The sequence below is a fragment of the Homo sapiens genome, chromosome 13 (assembly GCF_000001405.40).
Source record: "Homo sapiens chromosome 13, GRCh38.p14 Primary Assembly".
In the NCBI taxonomy this organism is placed as follows: Eukaryota; Metazoa; Chordata; class Mammalia; order Primates; family Hominidae; genus Homo; species Homo sapiens.
The window spans coordinates 74,855,523-74,875,057 of record NC_000013.11 but is presented as its reverse complement, the minus strand read 5'-3'; positions in this window follow the sequence as shown (position 1 = coordinate 74,875,057).

The window sequence follows — 19,535 nt, the reverse complement described above, 5'->3', positions numbered from 1 at the left end:
GATGTTCCCCTTCCTGTGTCCATGTGTTCTCATTGTTCAATTCCTACCTATGAGTGAGAACATGTGGTGTTTGGTTTTTTTGTCCTTGTGATAGTTTGCTGAGAATGATGGTTTCCAGCTTCATCCATGTCTGTACAAAGGACATGAACTCATCCTTTTTTATGGCTGCGTAGTATTTTGTGGTGTATATGTGCCACATTTTCTTAATCTAGTCTACCATTGTTGGACATTTGGGTTAGTTCCAAGTCTTTGCTGTTGTGATTAGTGCCGCAATAAATATACGTGTGCATGTGTCTTTATAGCAGCATGTTTTATAATCCTTTGGGTATATACCCAGTAATGGGATTGCTGGGTCAAATGGTATTTCTAGTTCTAGATCCCTGAGGAATCGCCACACTGACTTCCACGATGGTTGAACTAGTTTACAGTCCCACCAACAGTGTAAAAGTGTTCCTATTTCTACACATCCTCTCCAGCACCTGTTGTTTCCTGACTTTTTAATGATCGCCATTCTGACTGGTGTGAGATAGTATCTCATTGTGGTTTTGATTTGCATTTCTCTGATGGCCAGTGATGATGAGCATTTTTTCATGTGTCTGTTGGCTGCCTAAATGCCTTCTTTTGAGAAGTGTCTGTTCATATCCTTCACCCACTTTTTGATGGGGTTGTTTGTTTTTTTCTTGTAAATTTGTTTGAGTTCATTGTAGTTTCTGGATATTAGCCCTTTGTCAGATGAGTAGATTGCAAAAATTTTCTCCCATTCTGTAGGTTGCCTGTTCACTCTGATGGTGGTTTCTTTTGCTGTGCAGAAGCTGTTTAGTTTAATTAGATCCCATTTATCTCCCACATTTCTATATACTTGAATTTTACTTACATAAAAATAATGCTCAAATACGCATACATATTTACATTACTATGTCTTCTGTTATCCAAAGTCATCTTTTGAAATTTGTCAAGGGAAACAAATATTTTCATCTCACTTTTGTAAATAAAATAATTTCTTATATGAATTTATTGCTTCATTTTCCCCAGTTGCATCTGTTCCACATTCCCACAGTTGGCCTTTATGATCACAGATCAGAGATAAGGCCCATTTTGATTACTAGGCTATTCAGACGGGACAGAAAATATGCAAATATTTTAGCTTCAATACTTTAGTTTAGGACCTGGTAGGTGCTTCCAGGGCAACAGCAGGGTTTTCACATTGTCTCCTTAAAGCCTCTTTCCCCTTTCCCTCACTCACCTTCCAAGGTGAATTTGCTGTATAGCTAAAAGAGTGTGAGCTACAGAACACCACTTACATGAACCCTTCTAAGGTTCTGAGAGGCGGATTACCTTTGTATTAATAACTCTTATATTCTTTTGCTTAAATAGGGCCTCAAACTTATATGAACCATTGATCCCACAACACCTGGTTCTACCCTGCCTATCCTCTTTCCAAAATTTCTTTTGCACACCTGGCAGCCTTTTCATTTATCCCTGTATTGGCTTAATTTTGGGTTGTGGGATTCTGCTTTGGTCCTTGATCCTAAGTTCCAACCCAGCCCTTAAGCCAGCACAGCATTTCCCTGCTTCCTTTCAATGACTCAGGATGTGTCTCTCCTCTCTTATTTTTGCCAGTCTTCTTGTCCAGGGAGTTGTTCTCCTGGTCATTGCCATCTGAGGCTTGGATGTTTGGGATGAATAATGCCTGTCTACTAGTCCTCAGTCTAGAATGCTTTCTCACTGCTCTTTGATGCCCAGAAGAGTAACTTTGCTCATTACCTTTCTAGAGCCCTGTGCCTGACTCTTCTGCTATGTTTCAGCATCATGTCATATGGTCTAAGTTGTTTTCTCCAATGAGGTTAGCCCTAGTGGGCATTTGAATAAGGTCTGGCCCATTTTTCCCACTCACCTGGGTCACTGTAAAGAGTCTCAAAAGCCTTATACCAAAGAAATGACATATATGTGAGATACATACGTTCCTCCATGTTGAGAATGAAGACATAATTTCAATAGAAATGGCTCTAGTGCAATAGAAAAAGGGGAAATGGTGAGATCAAGTGAACGTGAGGCCATTGTCAATTTCTGCTCTTTTCTAAGATTTTAGCATCGACTCTATATTCTTTTCATCTAATTTCTAGCAACATTCCCAGTGACTTCAGTATAATCATTGGTGTCTCTGCCAATACTCTGGCTTCCTTAGTTTATAACATCAACTTCAGTGATATTTACTTTCTACTTAGCTTTAGAGTCCCATGTACAGGTACTATTATCATCTTGATCCTTGAAGCAGGAATGAAAGATGCTGTAGTCATCATATACTTCCAATCATGACTAGCATGGTGCTTTAAATACATATTAGGAGCACAAAAAATGTTTGCTGATAAAATGAATCAATAAATTTTTGGAAAGTGTAGCTATAAAATCAAGAATGATGAATGAAGCTGAAGTGAGGTAGTGTCCTGGGAATAATAATGGAAAGTTATGATCAGGAAAACATTTTCTCAAATTATCATTCAAGTTCAAATACTATGCTCCCTTTTGATGTATTCTAAATATGAATAGCATTAATAAAGTTTAAGAATTATAATTTTGCATCTAATTGCAGGGTATATCTGTTTGCATTAATATTATTTAATGTATTTTAAAACTATACAGTATCGCTTAATGATCCAGCAATACCTTGTACCTCATCCCTCAAAAAGATAAGTTTCACAAAGCAATTCAGATCATATCTAAAATTCTATTTTAACAAATAATTGATTAAGGTAATGGTATTTACATTGTTAGCTGAAATCTAGTATTCTCCAAAGTTATTTCAATAACATGATACATCATATATGTAATATGATATATATCTAAAAGGCACAGGGCTAAAGTGAGTTATCGTAGTGTTTCTGCATATTTGAGAATGCAAAATGACTGAGACTGTCCATCTTGTTTTTGAAGGATGCCAACAAGCTGGTATTATGTCCTGGTCTTCCCTTTGAGAGTTGTGAGTACACACATTATCAGAGATCTGACTGCAGATTTTGCCCATAAAAATAACTCTGATGTGGCTTGAAGCACAACTTTTATGAGACTCTTTGATTTGTTTCCCAAAGGTCAAGTTCAATCCTGATGGCTTGCTGTAGGAATGTTTTAATTTTTATTCAGTAATCCCCACTTCCTCTAACTGCCTTGCACATCCCATCACCCAGCAAATAAAAATCCAAGCAGTAAAGTTGGTTAGCTAGGCATACTCTGTAAAACATGATGATTTATTCTTTCAGTGACCTTAATGATAGTTTTAGTGTAGTAAATTTTTTATTACAGTAAATTATTTATTGCAGGAGAGGTATGTAAGTCAACAAGGAAGATGGAAATAATAGTGGAGAATTTATGTTGTTTTTCTGAAGAGTCTTGTTTCCACCCCTCACCCCTTTTGTGCTTCTAATAAAAACCTTCCATTATGCAAAGTAAATGCTCAAAATAACATGGGATAGTTTTTGTCTGTAAAGAGGGGACACTACACACACTGTTTCCAGAGGGGTTTCCAATAGGGGCTCCTTGCATTCTTTCCACTTGTTCTGGAGCCAATTAACTCACTAGCTGACTGCCAGAGATCCTTTTCAATTGTGACTGTCCAGCAAGCATTAGAGTTCTAACATTTCCCAGGCTATTAATATTCTTACAAGAGATATAAAGGCCTTCAATGCTTTATCAAGAACATGTCTAACCTAGGGACAGTGGGGCAGAGGACCAGGAAGATCAAATATCCCCTCCTTATACTCCTTGTCTTATCATTAGCAGAACAGATTGTGACAAGTGAATTGTCACTTGAAGTTAAACATCTATGTAAATTATCCATTATTTGGAATTATGGAAACAGGCATCTTGACATCTATTGTACAATGAAAGCACATGCTTATAGCAAGAACCCTGAGGCTGTCTAAAATCCTGGTCTTCTATGAATCATAAAATGTAGATGACAGATGACTTTATAATCAAATGATTTTATGTATTTACTTATTTATTTAGTAATTGGTTACTCCCATTTAATATAAGTAGTAAATTCCACAAAGTTTCTATGAATCATAGTTCTGGATTAGTCAGGGCTGGCAGTGACCTTGCCAAATAAAAGTTACCATAAAACGTATTACGAGTAAGTAAACTCCATCCTTTAAATGAGAAGCATTATTTAATATTTCAAGAATTCATGATTAATGATGCATTTTAAGCGCCAACATTCATTTTTTTCACTTTATATGAATTGTTTTGTTATTTTGTATCAATAAAAGGAAGTGATATCTTTTTCATAGTTTCTCAGGATCCTGAACACATTACCTGATAGACAACAACTAGTCAATAAATACTCGTTAAATAAATAAGCAGACAAAAGTAAATTTATGTTCAGTTTAGTGAGGTATGTCTATGTTTTTCAAAGAGAATATGTGTTTTACCAACTTTTGTAGCTCTCACATATCTGTGACTATCTTTTTGTTGCTTTCATGAGTAAAAGCCAATTTGGCTGGCATAAAAATCTGGCATCATGAACATTCCCTTCAAACATTGAAAGATACCTCTTCCCTTGTCATTTTACAGTAGCTGTTTAATCTCCATCCAGTGTCTTTTCATGGTTTTCTGCTCCTGTTCTACCGGATCATTTTACTCTATGTATTATCAAGGATCAAACAGCTTTCTGAAAACAGTTCTTCTGGTTCTTAAATACAGGCTTACCTTGATTTATTGTACTTAACTTTATTATGTTTTTTACAAATTGAAGTTTTGTGGCAACACAGTATTGAGCAAGTCTGTTGGAGCCATTTTTTCCAATAGCATGTGCTCCTTTTGTGTCTCGTGTCACATTTTGGTAATCCTCACAATATTTCAGGCTTTTTCATTATTATTGTATCTTTTATGGTGACCTGTGATCTGTGTTCTTTGTTGCTATTGTGTTTTGGGGCACCATAAACCACACCCATGTAACGCCAAACTTAATTCATAAATATTGTGTTCTTACTGCTCCATGAATGAGTCATTCCCCTATCTCTCTTCTTCTCCAGCCTTCCTGTTTCTCTGAGACACAACAATATTGAATTTAGGCCAGTTAATAACCCCACAATGACCTCTAAGTTTTCAAGTAAAAGGGACAGTCACAAGTCTCTCACTTTAAATGAAAAGCTAGAATTGATTAAGCTTAGTGAGGAAGGCATATTAAAAGCCAAGGTAGGCTGAAAGTTAGGCCTCTTGTACCAAACACCTATGTGAATGTGAAGAAAGAGTTCTTGAAGAAAACTAAAAGTGCTACTGCAGTGAACACACAAGTGATAAGAAAGCAAAACAGCCTTATTGCTGATATGGTGAAGAAGTTTGAGTTATCTGGATAGAAAGTCAAACCAGTTATATTTCCTTAAGCCAAAGCCTAATCCAGAGAAAGGCCTCAACTCTCTTCAAATCTATGAAAGTTTAGAGAGGTGAGGAAGCTACAGAAGAAAAGTTGGAAGCTAACAGACGTTGGTTCATGAGGTTTAAGGAAATAATCCATCTGCATAACAAAAAAGTGCAAGGTGAAGCAGCAAGCGCTGAAGTAGAAGCTGCAACAAGTTATCCAGAAGATCTAGCTAAAATAATCGATGGAGGTAGCTACACTAAACAACAGATTTTCATCATAGATCAAACAACTTTATATTGGAAAAAGATGCCATCTAGGACTTTCATAGCTAGAGAAAAGTCAATGCCTGACTTCAAAATGTCAAAGAATAAGGTGACTCTCTTGTTAGGCGCTAATGTAGCTGGTGACTTTAAGTTGAAGCCAATGCTTATTGATCATTCTGAAAATCCTTGGGACCTTAAGAATTATGCTAAATCTATTCTGCCTGTGCTCTATAAATAAAAAAAAACCTGGATGACAGCACATTTGTTTGCAGCATGGTTTACTGAATATTTTAAGCCCACAGTTGAGACCTACTGCTTGAGGGGAAAAAAAAGATTCTTAGTTACTCAAGATCTCTGATGGAGATCTACAAGGAGATTAATGTTATTTTCATGCCTGGTAACACAACATCCAGTCTGCAGCCCATGGATCAAGGAGTCATTTCAACTTTCAAGTCTTATTATTTAAGAAGTACATTTTATATGGCAATAGCTGGTTTTGATAGTGATTTCTCTGATGGATTTAGTAAAAGTAAATTGAAAGCTTTCTGGAAAGGATTCACCATTCTAGCTGTCATTAAGAATGTTCATAAATCATGGGAGAATGTTGACATAATATTAACAAGAGTTTGGAAGTAGTTGATTCCAACTGGCATGAGTGATTGAGGGTTTTAAGACTTCAGTGGAGGAAGTAACTGCAGATGTTGTAGAAATAGCAAGAAAACTAGAATCAGAAGTAGAGTCTGAAAGACGTGACTGAATTGCTGAAATCTAATGATAAAACTTAAAGGGATAAGGCTTCTTATGGATGAGGAAAGAAAGTAGATTCTGGTGATAGAATCTAATCCTGGTGGAGATGCTGTGAATATTACTGAAATGACAGCAACAGATTTAGAATATTACATAAATTTAATTGAACAAACAGTGGCAGGGTTTGAGAGGATTGACTTCAATTTTGAAAGAAGTTTTTCTGTTGGTAAAATACAATCAACCAGCAACAGATGCTACAGAGAATCTTTTTGTTGTTGTGCTTCATAGGTTGAGAAATACAGATAGTTTTTTTATGAAAGCAGGAGTCAATCAATGTGGTAAACTCCATTGCTGCCTTATTTTAAAAATTGCCACAGCCACCCCAATCTTCTGCAACTATCACCCTATTCAATCAGCAACCATCAACACTGAAGCAAGACTCACCCTCTACAGCAAGTAAATTATGACTCACTGAAAGCTCAGATGATCATTAGCATTTTTTAGCAATGAAGCATTTTTAAATTAAGGTATGTACATTGTTTTTGTAGACATAAGGCATTTGCACACTTAAGGGACTGCAGTATATTATAAATGTAACTTTTTGATATGCACTGGGAAACCAAAAAAATTACATGATTTGTTTTATTGTGATATTTGTTTTATTGTGCTGATCTGGAACCAAACCTGCAAATATCCAAGGTACACCTGTAATTTCTTAAGAATACTTTCACTTTGACCTTTTAAGGCATCATTTTTTTTTCATCTATAATATCGTGTTGTTTTCCTTCACTTTTATGATTTTGGTTAAAGGGAGACCTGGGCACTTCTGATATTTCCCATTAGATGAGTTCTATGACTTTTACTTAGTTGAGCCATTTGTGTGTAGAGATCATAGACCTTGAAACCCCAAGATATTTGCATAGAAATCAAAGCCACTGTTTCCATTATTACCCCAAGCAGAGTAGTGAAAGGTGCTCAATATCATTAGTCATTAGAGAAATGCAACTTAAAACTGTAATGTGATACCTCTACATATCTATAAGAATGACTAAGATGAAAACAAAAACAAAAACCATTCCTGCCAAGAGTTGCTGGGGATGTAGATGAAGTAGAACTCTTATACACTGCTGGTGGGAATGTGGAATGTTACAATCACTTGGTAAACCAGTTTAGAGGTTTCTTCAAAAGCTCAACTTGTGTTTACCATATGATCCAGCTGTTTTATTCTTATTTACCCATGAAAAATAGGATATATCCACTAAAAGATTTGTGTATCAATGTTCATAGTAGCTTTGTTTGTTAGTAGCCAAAAACTGGAACCACCCAAATGTCCACCAACAAGAATGGATAAACAAAGTCTGGCATATCCAAGGCCAGGCATGGTGGCTCATGCCTGTAATCCCAATACTTTGGGAGGCCGAGGTGGGCGGATCACGAGGTCAGGAGATCGAGACCATCCTGGCTAACATGGTGAAACCCTGTCTCCACTAAAAATGCAAAAAATTAGCCTGGCACGGTGGCGGGCGCCTGTAGTCCCAGCTATTTGGGAGGCTGAGGCCGGAGAATGGCGTGAATCAGGGAGGTGGAGCTTGCAGTGAGCCAAGATCGTGCCACTGCACTCCAGCCTGGGTGACAGAGCGAGACTCTGTCTCAGAAAAAAAAAAAAAAAAAAAAGTCTGGCATATCCTTTCGATTGAATACTACTCATCAATGCAGCCAACAAACTACTGAAGCATGCTACATTGTGGATGAATCTCAGAGTAATTATGTTGTGTGAAAGAAACTAGAGTAAATACTGTATAATTTATATCAAATTTTAGAAAATGCAAACTAATCTTTAATGACAGAAAGCAGACCATTGGCTGTCTACAGGTGATCAAGGCATATGGAGACAGGAGGGAGAGAAGGATTGCAAACATCCATGAGTTGGGGAGTCATCAATATGTTCATTGCTTTGATTGTGGTGATGGTTTTTATGGGTATACCAGTATACCCAAGTTTATCAAATTGTATACTTTAAACACCATTCATTGCATGCCAATTATATCTCAAAAAAACTATTAAAATATAGACAGAGAGTTAAAAATCCTTATAAAAAGTTTTGAAATATATTACTTTCATATAGCTTTTATTCTTGAAGCTTTATGATTGCCCAAAACATGGGAAATAAAAGGTTTTTTCTTTTAAAAATATCACTGAGATTTTAGCCAGCACATCCAATAGAGTGTGAGAGAAAAAAAAGAGAGAATTTACTGAAGAAAAAAAAGAAACCAGCAAAAAAAAAAAAAAAAAATACGGTTTTAATTCCAGTAATTCCTGGAAAGCAACTCCACAGAAACTTGGCCAGGAGTTGGGAAAAGATCATATAAATGCTTTAGGGCAGCTGTGCCAGGAAAAAGTTATAAATGACTGAAGGATTATGGCATTTGTGATGAGAAAGGAAATTAATCTAACTTGTAGCTTATGCTTTTAAGGTTTTTCAATTAGAAATGTCTACTTTAAAAGTCCAAAGAAATGATTAAGAAGTGAAATTGTGTCTTTAATTGTTTTCTAAGAGTAACATTGTCTGAATATTTGTTAAAATAGTTGAATTTTGGAAATGACCATTTCAAAAACAAAACCAGCATTTGGTCAAACTTGAAATACACTCAAACAATGTTCCCTTGAAATTTACTTTGAGAAAATTGAGTTGCCAATTATAATCATTTATAACTGAGGGTGATAAAACCATTTTTTTCATATTATAAACTGCCTAAAATGTTGGAAAAAGTACTATATAAGGGGAAGGATAACTTATTCTTCTGTTATATGGGGAAAAAAATTACACCATCTCTGGGCCAGAAGCCAAGTCATGTAACTTCTATGGGTCCAAAATTCATCCTCTATATATCAAGTAGTTTAATTCAACTCTCTTAACTTCATTCCAGCTCTGTAATTTATGATTCTATATACTCAGATTAAGGTATATAAGCATATTCAGACCATATCTTAATTTTCTAAAGAGAGAACAGAAGAGGAATACTGCATAAGTGATTAAAGCAAAGAAAAGGAAAATGATGCTGGATTGGCATGAAATTAACTTATAAGCAATATAACTATAATAATAATTGTTAGTATTTTCTTGATCAGTTATGTCCTAAAATTTATCTTTATTTTTTAGTGAAGGCTGCCTGCAAATTAAGGCGAGTACCCTTCCAAGGTCAAATGTGTCTCATGATGTGCAAATAGGTCACTTCTCTTAATCATAGACCTCTATAGCATTGAAATGTTGGTTTATTTTGAATTTGTAGTTGTAAGTACTTTTTCCTAACAAGTTCACTCTACAAAAGAGAGATGGATGGATGGATGGATGGATGGATGGATGGATGGATGGAGGGAGGGACAGATAGATATCATGTGGGATTGCTTGGGTTAGTAGAGCTCAAATACTATAGAATGCTAGAGGTAAAGTAATTAAAAATGTGGAAACATAGACTATGGGAAGTTTATGGGGAAAATATTTGGAAAGTCATACAGATCTATCTTGCATAATTCCAATGATAGATATATGATTTTTTTGTACTGTGGCTGTTTTTCTGATAACATGGCAAATCACATGATTACCATTAAACAGAAAGAAACAACTGACAAAACTATCAGGAAATTAATTTGATATTATATATCAAGAGCATTAAAAAATATTTCCCTTGAACAGAATAAACTTATTCCTGGGACTTTTTTCTCCAAAAATAGATGTGAAGAGTAAGATATGCTTTCATTGCTAGGCAAAACTTTTGAATCTCAAACCATGTGACTGTACCACCCTGTTCCTTCCCAATTTTGTCATGAATTGACCTTTTCTTTTATTGCAGAGTTGATCTCCTGACTTCCAGTCTTCCTCTCCACCCCTCCTGCCTTCATTTTTGGACATTTCATTGTCCACGTAATTTATACATTTAATGTTTCATATTCATAGATCCTTGATGTCCTTCTCATGAATGAGCTTAACACCAAGCATTTAAAGCAACTGACTTAACTGGGTAAATGGTACCAGTGCAAACTGAGATTTCAACTTAAATCAACCTGCATAATCCAGAAATCTTTCTCCTCCATTTCTGTTTTCAATTCTTCTTCCCATTCTCCATACTACCAATTCCAAACTGACATCACTCTTCTGAAATCCTTCATTTCATCTGCATTCCACTTACTCTCATCAATTCATTTCATTTTAAATTTAAAAAGCCATCAACTTTCAGCTTTACCTTGCTCTTTACTTTTGTATACGTAGGAAGAGGTGTCACGTTTCTGTCCATGTGCTTCCTTAATTCTCTGCTATTTCCATTATTACATATTGTCATGTAACAAGTCACCTTGAAAATAAATGACTTCAAAAAAAAGATTATTAATTCATAAGGTTTTGAAATAATATCTCATGTAGTTATAGTTGGATAGTGGTCAATGCGGAAGTCATTTGAAGGTTTGACTGGGCTGGTTGTCAAAGATGGCTTCTTCCTCATACATGTGTCTGATGCCTCACCTGAGATGGCTCATTTGGGAACTTTTCTTTCTCCATGCCTCCCTCCATTCCTCTTCTCTGGCCAGCTTCCTCACAGCCTATGGTTACTAAGCAGTTGGTCTTCTTAGATGGTGTCTGGCTTCCTCCAGAGCAAGCATTTTAAGTGACAAGGGTTCTTCTGACCTATATTCATAAGAAGTCATGAAGTTAGGCAGTGTTAGCTTTACCTCATCTTTGTCAAATTCAAAAGGAGAGAACTATAGAAGGATATATTTATATTGGGGTGTGGTTCTTTGGGAAACTATCTTTGGAAACTACCACTTGCCTTTATAAATCCTGAGAACTTTAAAAGCTTGTGCAATTACTGTATACCCCTTCTTGTGGCTGCCATCTACTTACCTCCTGGTCATGCTCCCACATTTACTTTCATGTTTGGGTGAAAGTATTCCTTTCTACTTTAATCTTAATAATTTTCAAAGTCTTTGTGGATGGTTCAGTCCAAGACAATTCTTTGACTTTAATTCTGATGATCTTTACCTCTACATTAATTCACATATCTGACACATAAAGCCACATCTTGAAATATAGTAAAACCTAATACTACACTACATAGAAAAATATTAAATTCTAATTTATTATGCTATCTTTAACTGCAACAACCTATCGTTCCAACCCTGTAACACTCACAGACCTACCCTTTGACCTTAGGAAAATTTCAGGCCCTGAGCTACTTCATTTCCTTTTAATCTACCTATTTCTTTCTGGATTCACTTTCTTCCTGACCTATATTCTGAGGTTTGTCATTTTGATTACTCTAAATTATTATTACTCTGCCTCTTTTGCCCCTTGCTCTTCTGTAAAAACCCCCTGTAAAATCATAACTTTGGATTGATTAAATGGTTAGGCTTCTTTACTCTTTCAAAAATAAGAACTATAGAAAAAAATTCTGCAATGCAATGTCACTGCCATCTTCAAAATATCCTCTTGACATCATATCACATCCCCTTTTAGTTATATCCAAATTCTGGACTTCTTGAGAAAAATCAAGATTCTTTAAAGAAAAATAAATATTTACTTACCACTTTACTACAAATACATTTCTTGTTTTCTCTCTAAGTTAACAATGCCCTATAAAATAGACCCTTATTTAACTTGTCATTGTTGGCCATTCTTTCCTTAAGGAAGAAATACCTGCATGACTTCTATGACTTTACTTTCTCCTAGATTCCATCCTATCTCTCTATACTTTCCCCCTTAGTTTCCTCTGTGGGCTCATATTTTTCTGCCCATTCCTTAAATATTCATACGCTCCAAGTCTATCATCTTTGGAAATTGCCATCTTTGGAAACTTCCATCCTATCTCTCTATACTTTCCTCCTCAGTTTCCTTTGTGGGCTCATGTTTTTCTGCCCATTCCTTAAATATTCACATTCTCCAAATCTGCTCCATCAGCTCTCTCTTCTTTTTACTATTTACACTCATGAAGTTATTTCAATCACATTTATGGTTTCAATTACCACTTATATATTTAGCCCTAAATTCTTCCCTGATCTCAACTCTTAACTCCAACTGGTTTCTGGAAATCTCACATGTCTTAGAAGAATTTTGAGCTCTACATGTTCTAAAAATGTGCTAGTGATTTTCACACAAAATTGATTCTCAACTGTATTCTCTTTCTAAGTGAATGGCATAAAAATTTTCTCATTCATGGAAGCCAGAAACATAGGAGTCATCCTTGACTACTACTTCTTAATCTCTGTATTCACACTTTCTCTAGGTTCTGCTAATACATATTCTTTTACCTTTGTCACATGCATTTCTGCTGATACTAGTCAATTACAGTATTGTTAAATAATAATGGTTGAAGGCATCATTCTTAGTTTTCAGAAGCATTAGCAGATAAATAGGTCCTCATAAAAGCCAAGATTCCAAAAAATAAAGCAAAACCATGATGCTGGATGCCTTAATTATATAGTTTTTTTTTTGTCTTAGTCCATTTGGGCCACCATAACAAAATACCATAAACTAGGTCACTTATAAACAACAAAAATTTATTTCTCACAGCTCTGGAGGCTGGGCTGTGCAAAATCAAGGTGCCTATAGATATGGTGCTTGATGACGGCTCATTTTCTCATCCAAAGATAGTACCTTCTCACTGTGTTCTCACATGGTAGAAAGGATGAAGGGTCTCTTGGACCTCTTTTATAAAGACACTAATCCCATTCATGAGGGTTCTGCACCCAGGACTTAAGCACCTCCCAAAGGCCCACCTCCTAATACCATCACCTTGAGGACTAGGATTTCAACATATGAAGTTGCGGGGGGAGCAACATAAACATTTAGCCCATGGCAAATTTTAATTAAAAAAAAATGTTAAAGCAGGTGACTCTGACCTTTACTTTTCTACACTATTGCTAAACTATCAGCAGCCTTAAAACCATCCTCCCCTTTAATGGAGTATCTAATTAAATGCTATTATAATACTTCAAAAAAGAGACAGACCTCACATATGATTTTTATTTCGAGGGACAGTGTTTACAATTAGGATGTCCTAGAGTGAGAAGAGTATAGTTTTCGAAGTGAAGATAAGACTTATGAAAATTTACTAAGCATCCTTTTTCCTTATTTATAATAGCAGATAATACTTACTTTGTATATTTTGTATGGTTATATGAAGATTAGGCAAGATAATGAATGTGGAGATGCATAGATACCAAATATTTTTTCTAATTTCTTTCATTTTTGCTATTAATACTTGCCTGAGTATTTTCTACATGTCAGATTGATCACTCTGAGTGCTATTTGAAGGGGAAAGAGCTTCAAAAACATTATTAATTACATGTATGCACAGAGGTACCATGTTAATGCCATATACATTCTTACTAGTGAGGGGCCACTCAAGACTGGAAACATGAACATATTTTAAAAATACCATACAAGCAACTTCAAAAAAATTAACATCGACTATTTCATAGTTGAAAAAAAGAACTCAGTGTATTGAAACTAACATATATTTCATCAGATGACAGAAGACTAACTCTTGGAATTATAATAGGGAACATTGGTGAGAGGATTGGTAATGACAGCTACACAAGGAAAGAATGACATTAATAAAAAAAATTGAAGAGATTTGTTGCTTGTCATCCATAAGAAAGCATTACTTCTAATATAGTTAAAAATGCAATAAATCAACACAAGCCAGGACATTCTCCTGGGAGAGATGGGGAAACTATTGTGAGCAATGTGCTAACTGACCTAGAGAAAAGTGAACCATATTTTGAGCTTTGAAACATAATTCATGGAAGCTTTTTATACCACCATTGGTGGTGAAATTTGCATTCCCTGAAGGCCACATTCATAGGTGACCATTATAGTACATCTTTGTAAAATTTGCGAAGCATTTTAGTGCAGTCTCTTCGGTCTTACAACAAAAGCTTGAGAATTAAAGAAAAATCCTGGGTTACCCCTGCATGAATAGACACATAAGTCAAACCTTTAAAAAAGCATTAAAATAAGAATTATATTCATAATCAGAGAAAATTTTTTTAATTTTTTATGCAATAGCAATGTAATGTTCATATCCTAATGTAACTTAAGATAAAAACTTTTCATGAAGTAAATGATTCTCCAAGGTATCAGAATTTTCAGAAAGGCATAAAAAATCATTTTGGTGTAAATAATGCATAGTTTAATAGCAAAATCATAAAGATACATTTTGTATTTACAGTTTGACAGTTTATTGAAAAAAATTAATCACATCAGTTTATTAAACTGAATAATTATTTAATATACTGTGACTTTATATCATCTGTTTCATCATTCTTATAAATCTGATGACGTATAAGTGGTAAATATGCCTTCAAAGAAAAGAAAATGCTCTAGAGAGAAAAAAAGATGATAAATTGATTTCAGCTACTTCACAGTACAAGAAGAAAGGTAAATCATACTTCATTTTAAAGAAGCTATAATTCTAGAAAACATTTGATTAGACAATTGCAATCAATTTAAGGTTCTAGAAGTTCAGACACTTCTGGTAGTGTTTGAATTATAGGATCATATGTAATTAACCCCTTTGAACTACAGCAATTCCTTTTGATTATGTAACAAGGAGAGTAAGTTTGTGGAAGATTCATCACCTTATGTAAACTTTTTAATGATCAATAATTGGTCAGAGAAAAATGAATTTCCAGTGTTCATTCAGAGTTGTTAAACTGATACTTCTATTTGACTCTCTGCTGCTCCCAGGAGGGTCATTCTGTGCCTTAACAATCTTCCCTGATTAGCTTATGCTTTACATGGGACTCCACCATTCTCCAAGCCACATCTAAAAATAGCCCTATACATAATAAGCTTATTGATGGAGGTAAGACTCTCACAGAGCCATAGGACACTTGCTGCAGATGGTAAATTAAGGCTGGATATGTTTTGCATTCTACTTTTTGTGTCTTGTAATATTATCTGTAATGTGATCATATCTGGATATCACTACTTGTTCTCAGAATTATTGTTTCTTTTTTCTCATAGTCTTGATATTTTACATTTCAAAATTACTATATAGCTAATTGTAAATATGTCTTCTTTATATTTATTTATTTATTTTACTTTAAGTTCCAGAATATATGTGCAGAACATGCAGGTTTGCTACATAGGTATATGTGTGCTATGGTGGTTTGTGGCACCTATCAACCTGTCATCTAGGTTTTAAGCCCCACATGCATTAGTGATTTGTCCTAATGCTCTCCCTCCCCTCACTGCCCATCCCCTGACAGTCCCCAGTGTATGTTGTTTCCCACCCTTTGTCCATGTGTTCTCATTTTTCAACTCCCACTATGAGTGAGAACATGCAGTGTTTGGTTTCCTGTTACTGTATTAGTTTGTGAGGATGATAGCTTCCAGCTTCATCCATGTCCCTGCAAAGGACATGATCTCATTCCTTTTTATGGCTGCATGGGATTCCGTCATGTATATTTACCACATTTTCTTTATCCAGTCTATCATTGATGGGCATTTGGGTTGGTTCCATGTCTTTGCTATTGTAAATAGTGCTGCAATAAATATACTTGCACATGTGTCTTTATATAGTAGAATAATTTATATTCCTTTGGGTATGTACCCAGTAATAAGATTGCTGGGTCAAATAATATTTCTGGTTCTAAATCCTTGAGGAATCACCACACTGTCTTCCACAATGGTTGAACTAATTTACATTCCCACCAACAATGAAAAAGCATTCCTGTTTCTCTGCAGCCTCACCAGCATCTATTGTTTCTTTATTTTTTAATAACTGCCATTATGACTGGTGTGAGATGATATCTCATTGTGGTTTGTATCATCCTGATACCAAAACCTGGCAGAGACACAACAGAAAAAGAAAACTTCAGGCCAATATCGCCGATGAACATCGATGCAAAAATCCTCAATAAAATACTGGCAAACCAAATACAGCAGCACATCAAAAAGCTTATCCACCACGATCAAATTGGCTTCATCCCTGGGATGCAAGGCTGGTTCAACATACACAAATCGATAAACATAATACAGCACATAAACAGAACCAATGACAAAAACCACATGATTATGTCAATAGATGCAGAAAAGGCCTTTGATAAAATTTGACATCCCTTCATGTTAAAAATTCTCAATAATCTAGGTATTGATGGAACATATCTCAAAATAAGAGCTATTTATGACAAACCCACAGCCAATATCATACTGAATGGGCAAAAGCTGAAAACATTCCTTTTGAAAACCAACATAGTATTGGAAATTCTGTCCAGGGCAATCAGGCCAGAGAAAGAAATCAAGGGTATTCAAATAGGAAGTGAGGAAGTCAAATTGCCTCTGTTTGCAGACGACATGATTCTATATTTAGAAAACCCTATCATCTCAGCCCAAAAACTCCTTAGGCTGATAAGCTGCTTTGGCAATGTTGCAGGATAGAAAATCAATATGCAAAAATGACAAGCATTCTTATACACCAACAATAGACAAGCAGAGAGCCAAATCATTAATGAGCTCCCATTTACAATTGTTACAAAGAGAATAAAATACCTAAGAATACAGCTAATGAGGAACCTGAAGGACCTCTTCAAGGAGAACTACAAACCACTGTTCAAGGAAATAAGAGAGGACACAAACCAATGGAAAAACATTCCATCCTCATGGATAGGAAGAATCAATATTGTGAAAATGGCCATACTGCCCATAGTAATTTATAGATTCAATGCTATTTCCATCAAACTACCACTGACATTCTTCACAGATCTAGAGAAAACTAATTTAAATTTCATATGGAACCCAAAAAGAGCCCATATAGCCAAGACAATACTAAGCAAAAAGAACAAAGCTGGAGGCATCAGACTAACTGACTTCAAACTATACTACAAGGCTACAGTAATTAAAACAGCATGGTACTGGTACCAAAACAGACATATAGACCAATGGAACAGAGCAGAGACCTCAGAAATAATACCACACATCTACAGCTATCTGATCTTTGACAAACCTGACTAAAACAAGCAATGGGGAAAGGATTCCCTATTTAATAAATAGTGCTGGGAAAACTGACTAGCCATATGCAGAAAACTGAAACTGGACCCCTTCTTTACACCTTATACAAAAATTAACTCAAGATGGATTAAAGGCTTTTAAACTTCAAACCATAAACACCCTAGAAGAAAACCTAGGTAATACCATTCAGGACATAGGCATGGGCAAAGATTTCATGATGAAAATGCCAAAAGCAATCACAACAAAAGCCAAAATTGACAAATGGGATCTAATTAAACTGAAGAGCTTCTGCACAGCAAAAGAAACTATCATCAGAGTGAACAGGCAGCCTACAGAGTGGGAGAACGTTTTTGCAATCTACCCATCTGACGAAGGTCTGATATCTAGAATCTACAAGGAACTTAAACAAATTTACAAGAAAAAAAAACAACCCCATCAAAAAGTGGGCAAGAGACATAAACAGACACTTTTCAAAAAAAGGCATTTATGTAGCCAACAAACATGAAAAAAAGCTCAACATCACTGATCATTAGAGAAATGCAAATCTAAACCTTTATATTTAATTAAGAAGTAAGCTGAGCTGTCTAATAATAGACAATGACATTTTTTTCACCAAGAATGAGAAGAACAAATATGCTTTTCTTTAAAAAAGCTATCTTGAATTCAACTTCTAATTTATTGTTTTACTCAGTTATATTTTGGCGCGCGCGCGAGAGAGCTCTTTAGAATTTCTCTTACAAATCTCAGATCAATAATGTGATACTTATTCAAATTCATAAGCGTTTTAGAAAAGCCTCTCATGAATTAGATGTATATGCTTCCTGTATCCTTTACCAAATAACAGTTTTTAGAATTTCTTTTTGTACTCCATATTTACTTAAATACGAACCTATATTTATATTTACGAAGTTGAAGCTTAGATCTTAAAATAATTGAATCTGGAAAGAGCCATTTGGGAAGTGGTAAATGGTTTCTAAATTTCAAAGCTAAAGAGGGAATGTAGTCTGGGGATTAAACCTCTTTTCTTATGGGAGGGACCAGGTTTTTTGTGAGCAGTTTTAACCAGCCAGATATAAAGCAGATATCTAAGTCATGGTACTTGGGAAACCCAGAACCAGAGAAGTAATTCAAATACAGATGCCCCGGATCAAAATGTTAAATTGAGTGTACACTTATTAAGGGCATGCCCTTGAAGAATCCAATATATTTTCCCCTAAATGTGGCTTTTGGCTAGACTCCCTTTGAAAATTAATATCTGTCACTGATAGATGGTCTAGTCCCTCTCACTCTTTTCCTTCTTTACTCCACATGTTCGTTCACTGGTGATCAGAAGATTGCAAAAAACATGTAAACATAATCTTAAAATAGAGAAAAGAGTGTGAAGAGGAACTGGTTGTGACTTTCATGTGATGGTTTCCAACCTTGGGAAACATACCCTTCCCTATTATGATAGCTTTTTTCTGGATGCACCCCCCGCCCCCTTGACTATCATTTGGGCAGGCAGGAGGCAGACCCACCTTGCATGGAGGTGTTAGATTGTGGAGAACAGGCCTCCGTGGTCTAGATGAACTTCAGTTGGGAAGTGGTAGGTTGGTATCTATAATATGATGGCAGGTAAAAGACTAAGGAACACTAGTTGAGGGGCTAAGGAAAACGGGTGAGCCCCTGTGAAGGAACTAATGGAAAGTTATGTTTTTCTTTCCTGCATTATAATGACCTTCCATTTGCCTATGGCTTCCTCTTGGTAGTCTTTGGGAGTCTAAGGGAAGGTTACCTACATCCTTGAGAAGAAACAACCCAGAGAAAGTAATGGTATCACATGTGTGCTTTTCTCAGTGAGTCTGCAGTGGTGGGGAAAACTGTGGAACAAAGGGTGGGCACTTAAACTACTGCTATTTATGTAAAAAGGAAGAATGACTTCCTAAGGCTGGAGAAAATGGGAAGCAATTGGATGACATTCAGATTTGAAGAATGCGTGCCCATTATCATTATCACCATTGTCACCAATGACAATGTTGCCTGAAATTTGTGGAGCGTAGTGTATTTTTGAAAGTACTTTGCCCTAGAATCATCTAATTGGCTTTTTAGTTAAAACTTTTACTGTAGATATAGCTGGGAAAACTCTGTTTCATAAGAAATCTGTCTAACCATAAAATAAGACACC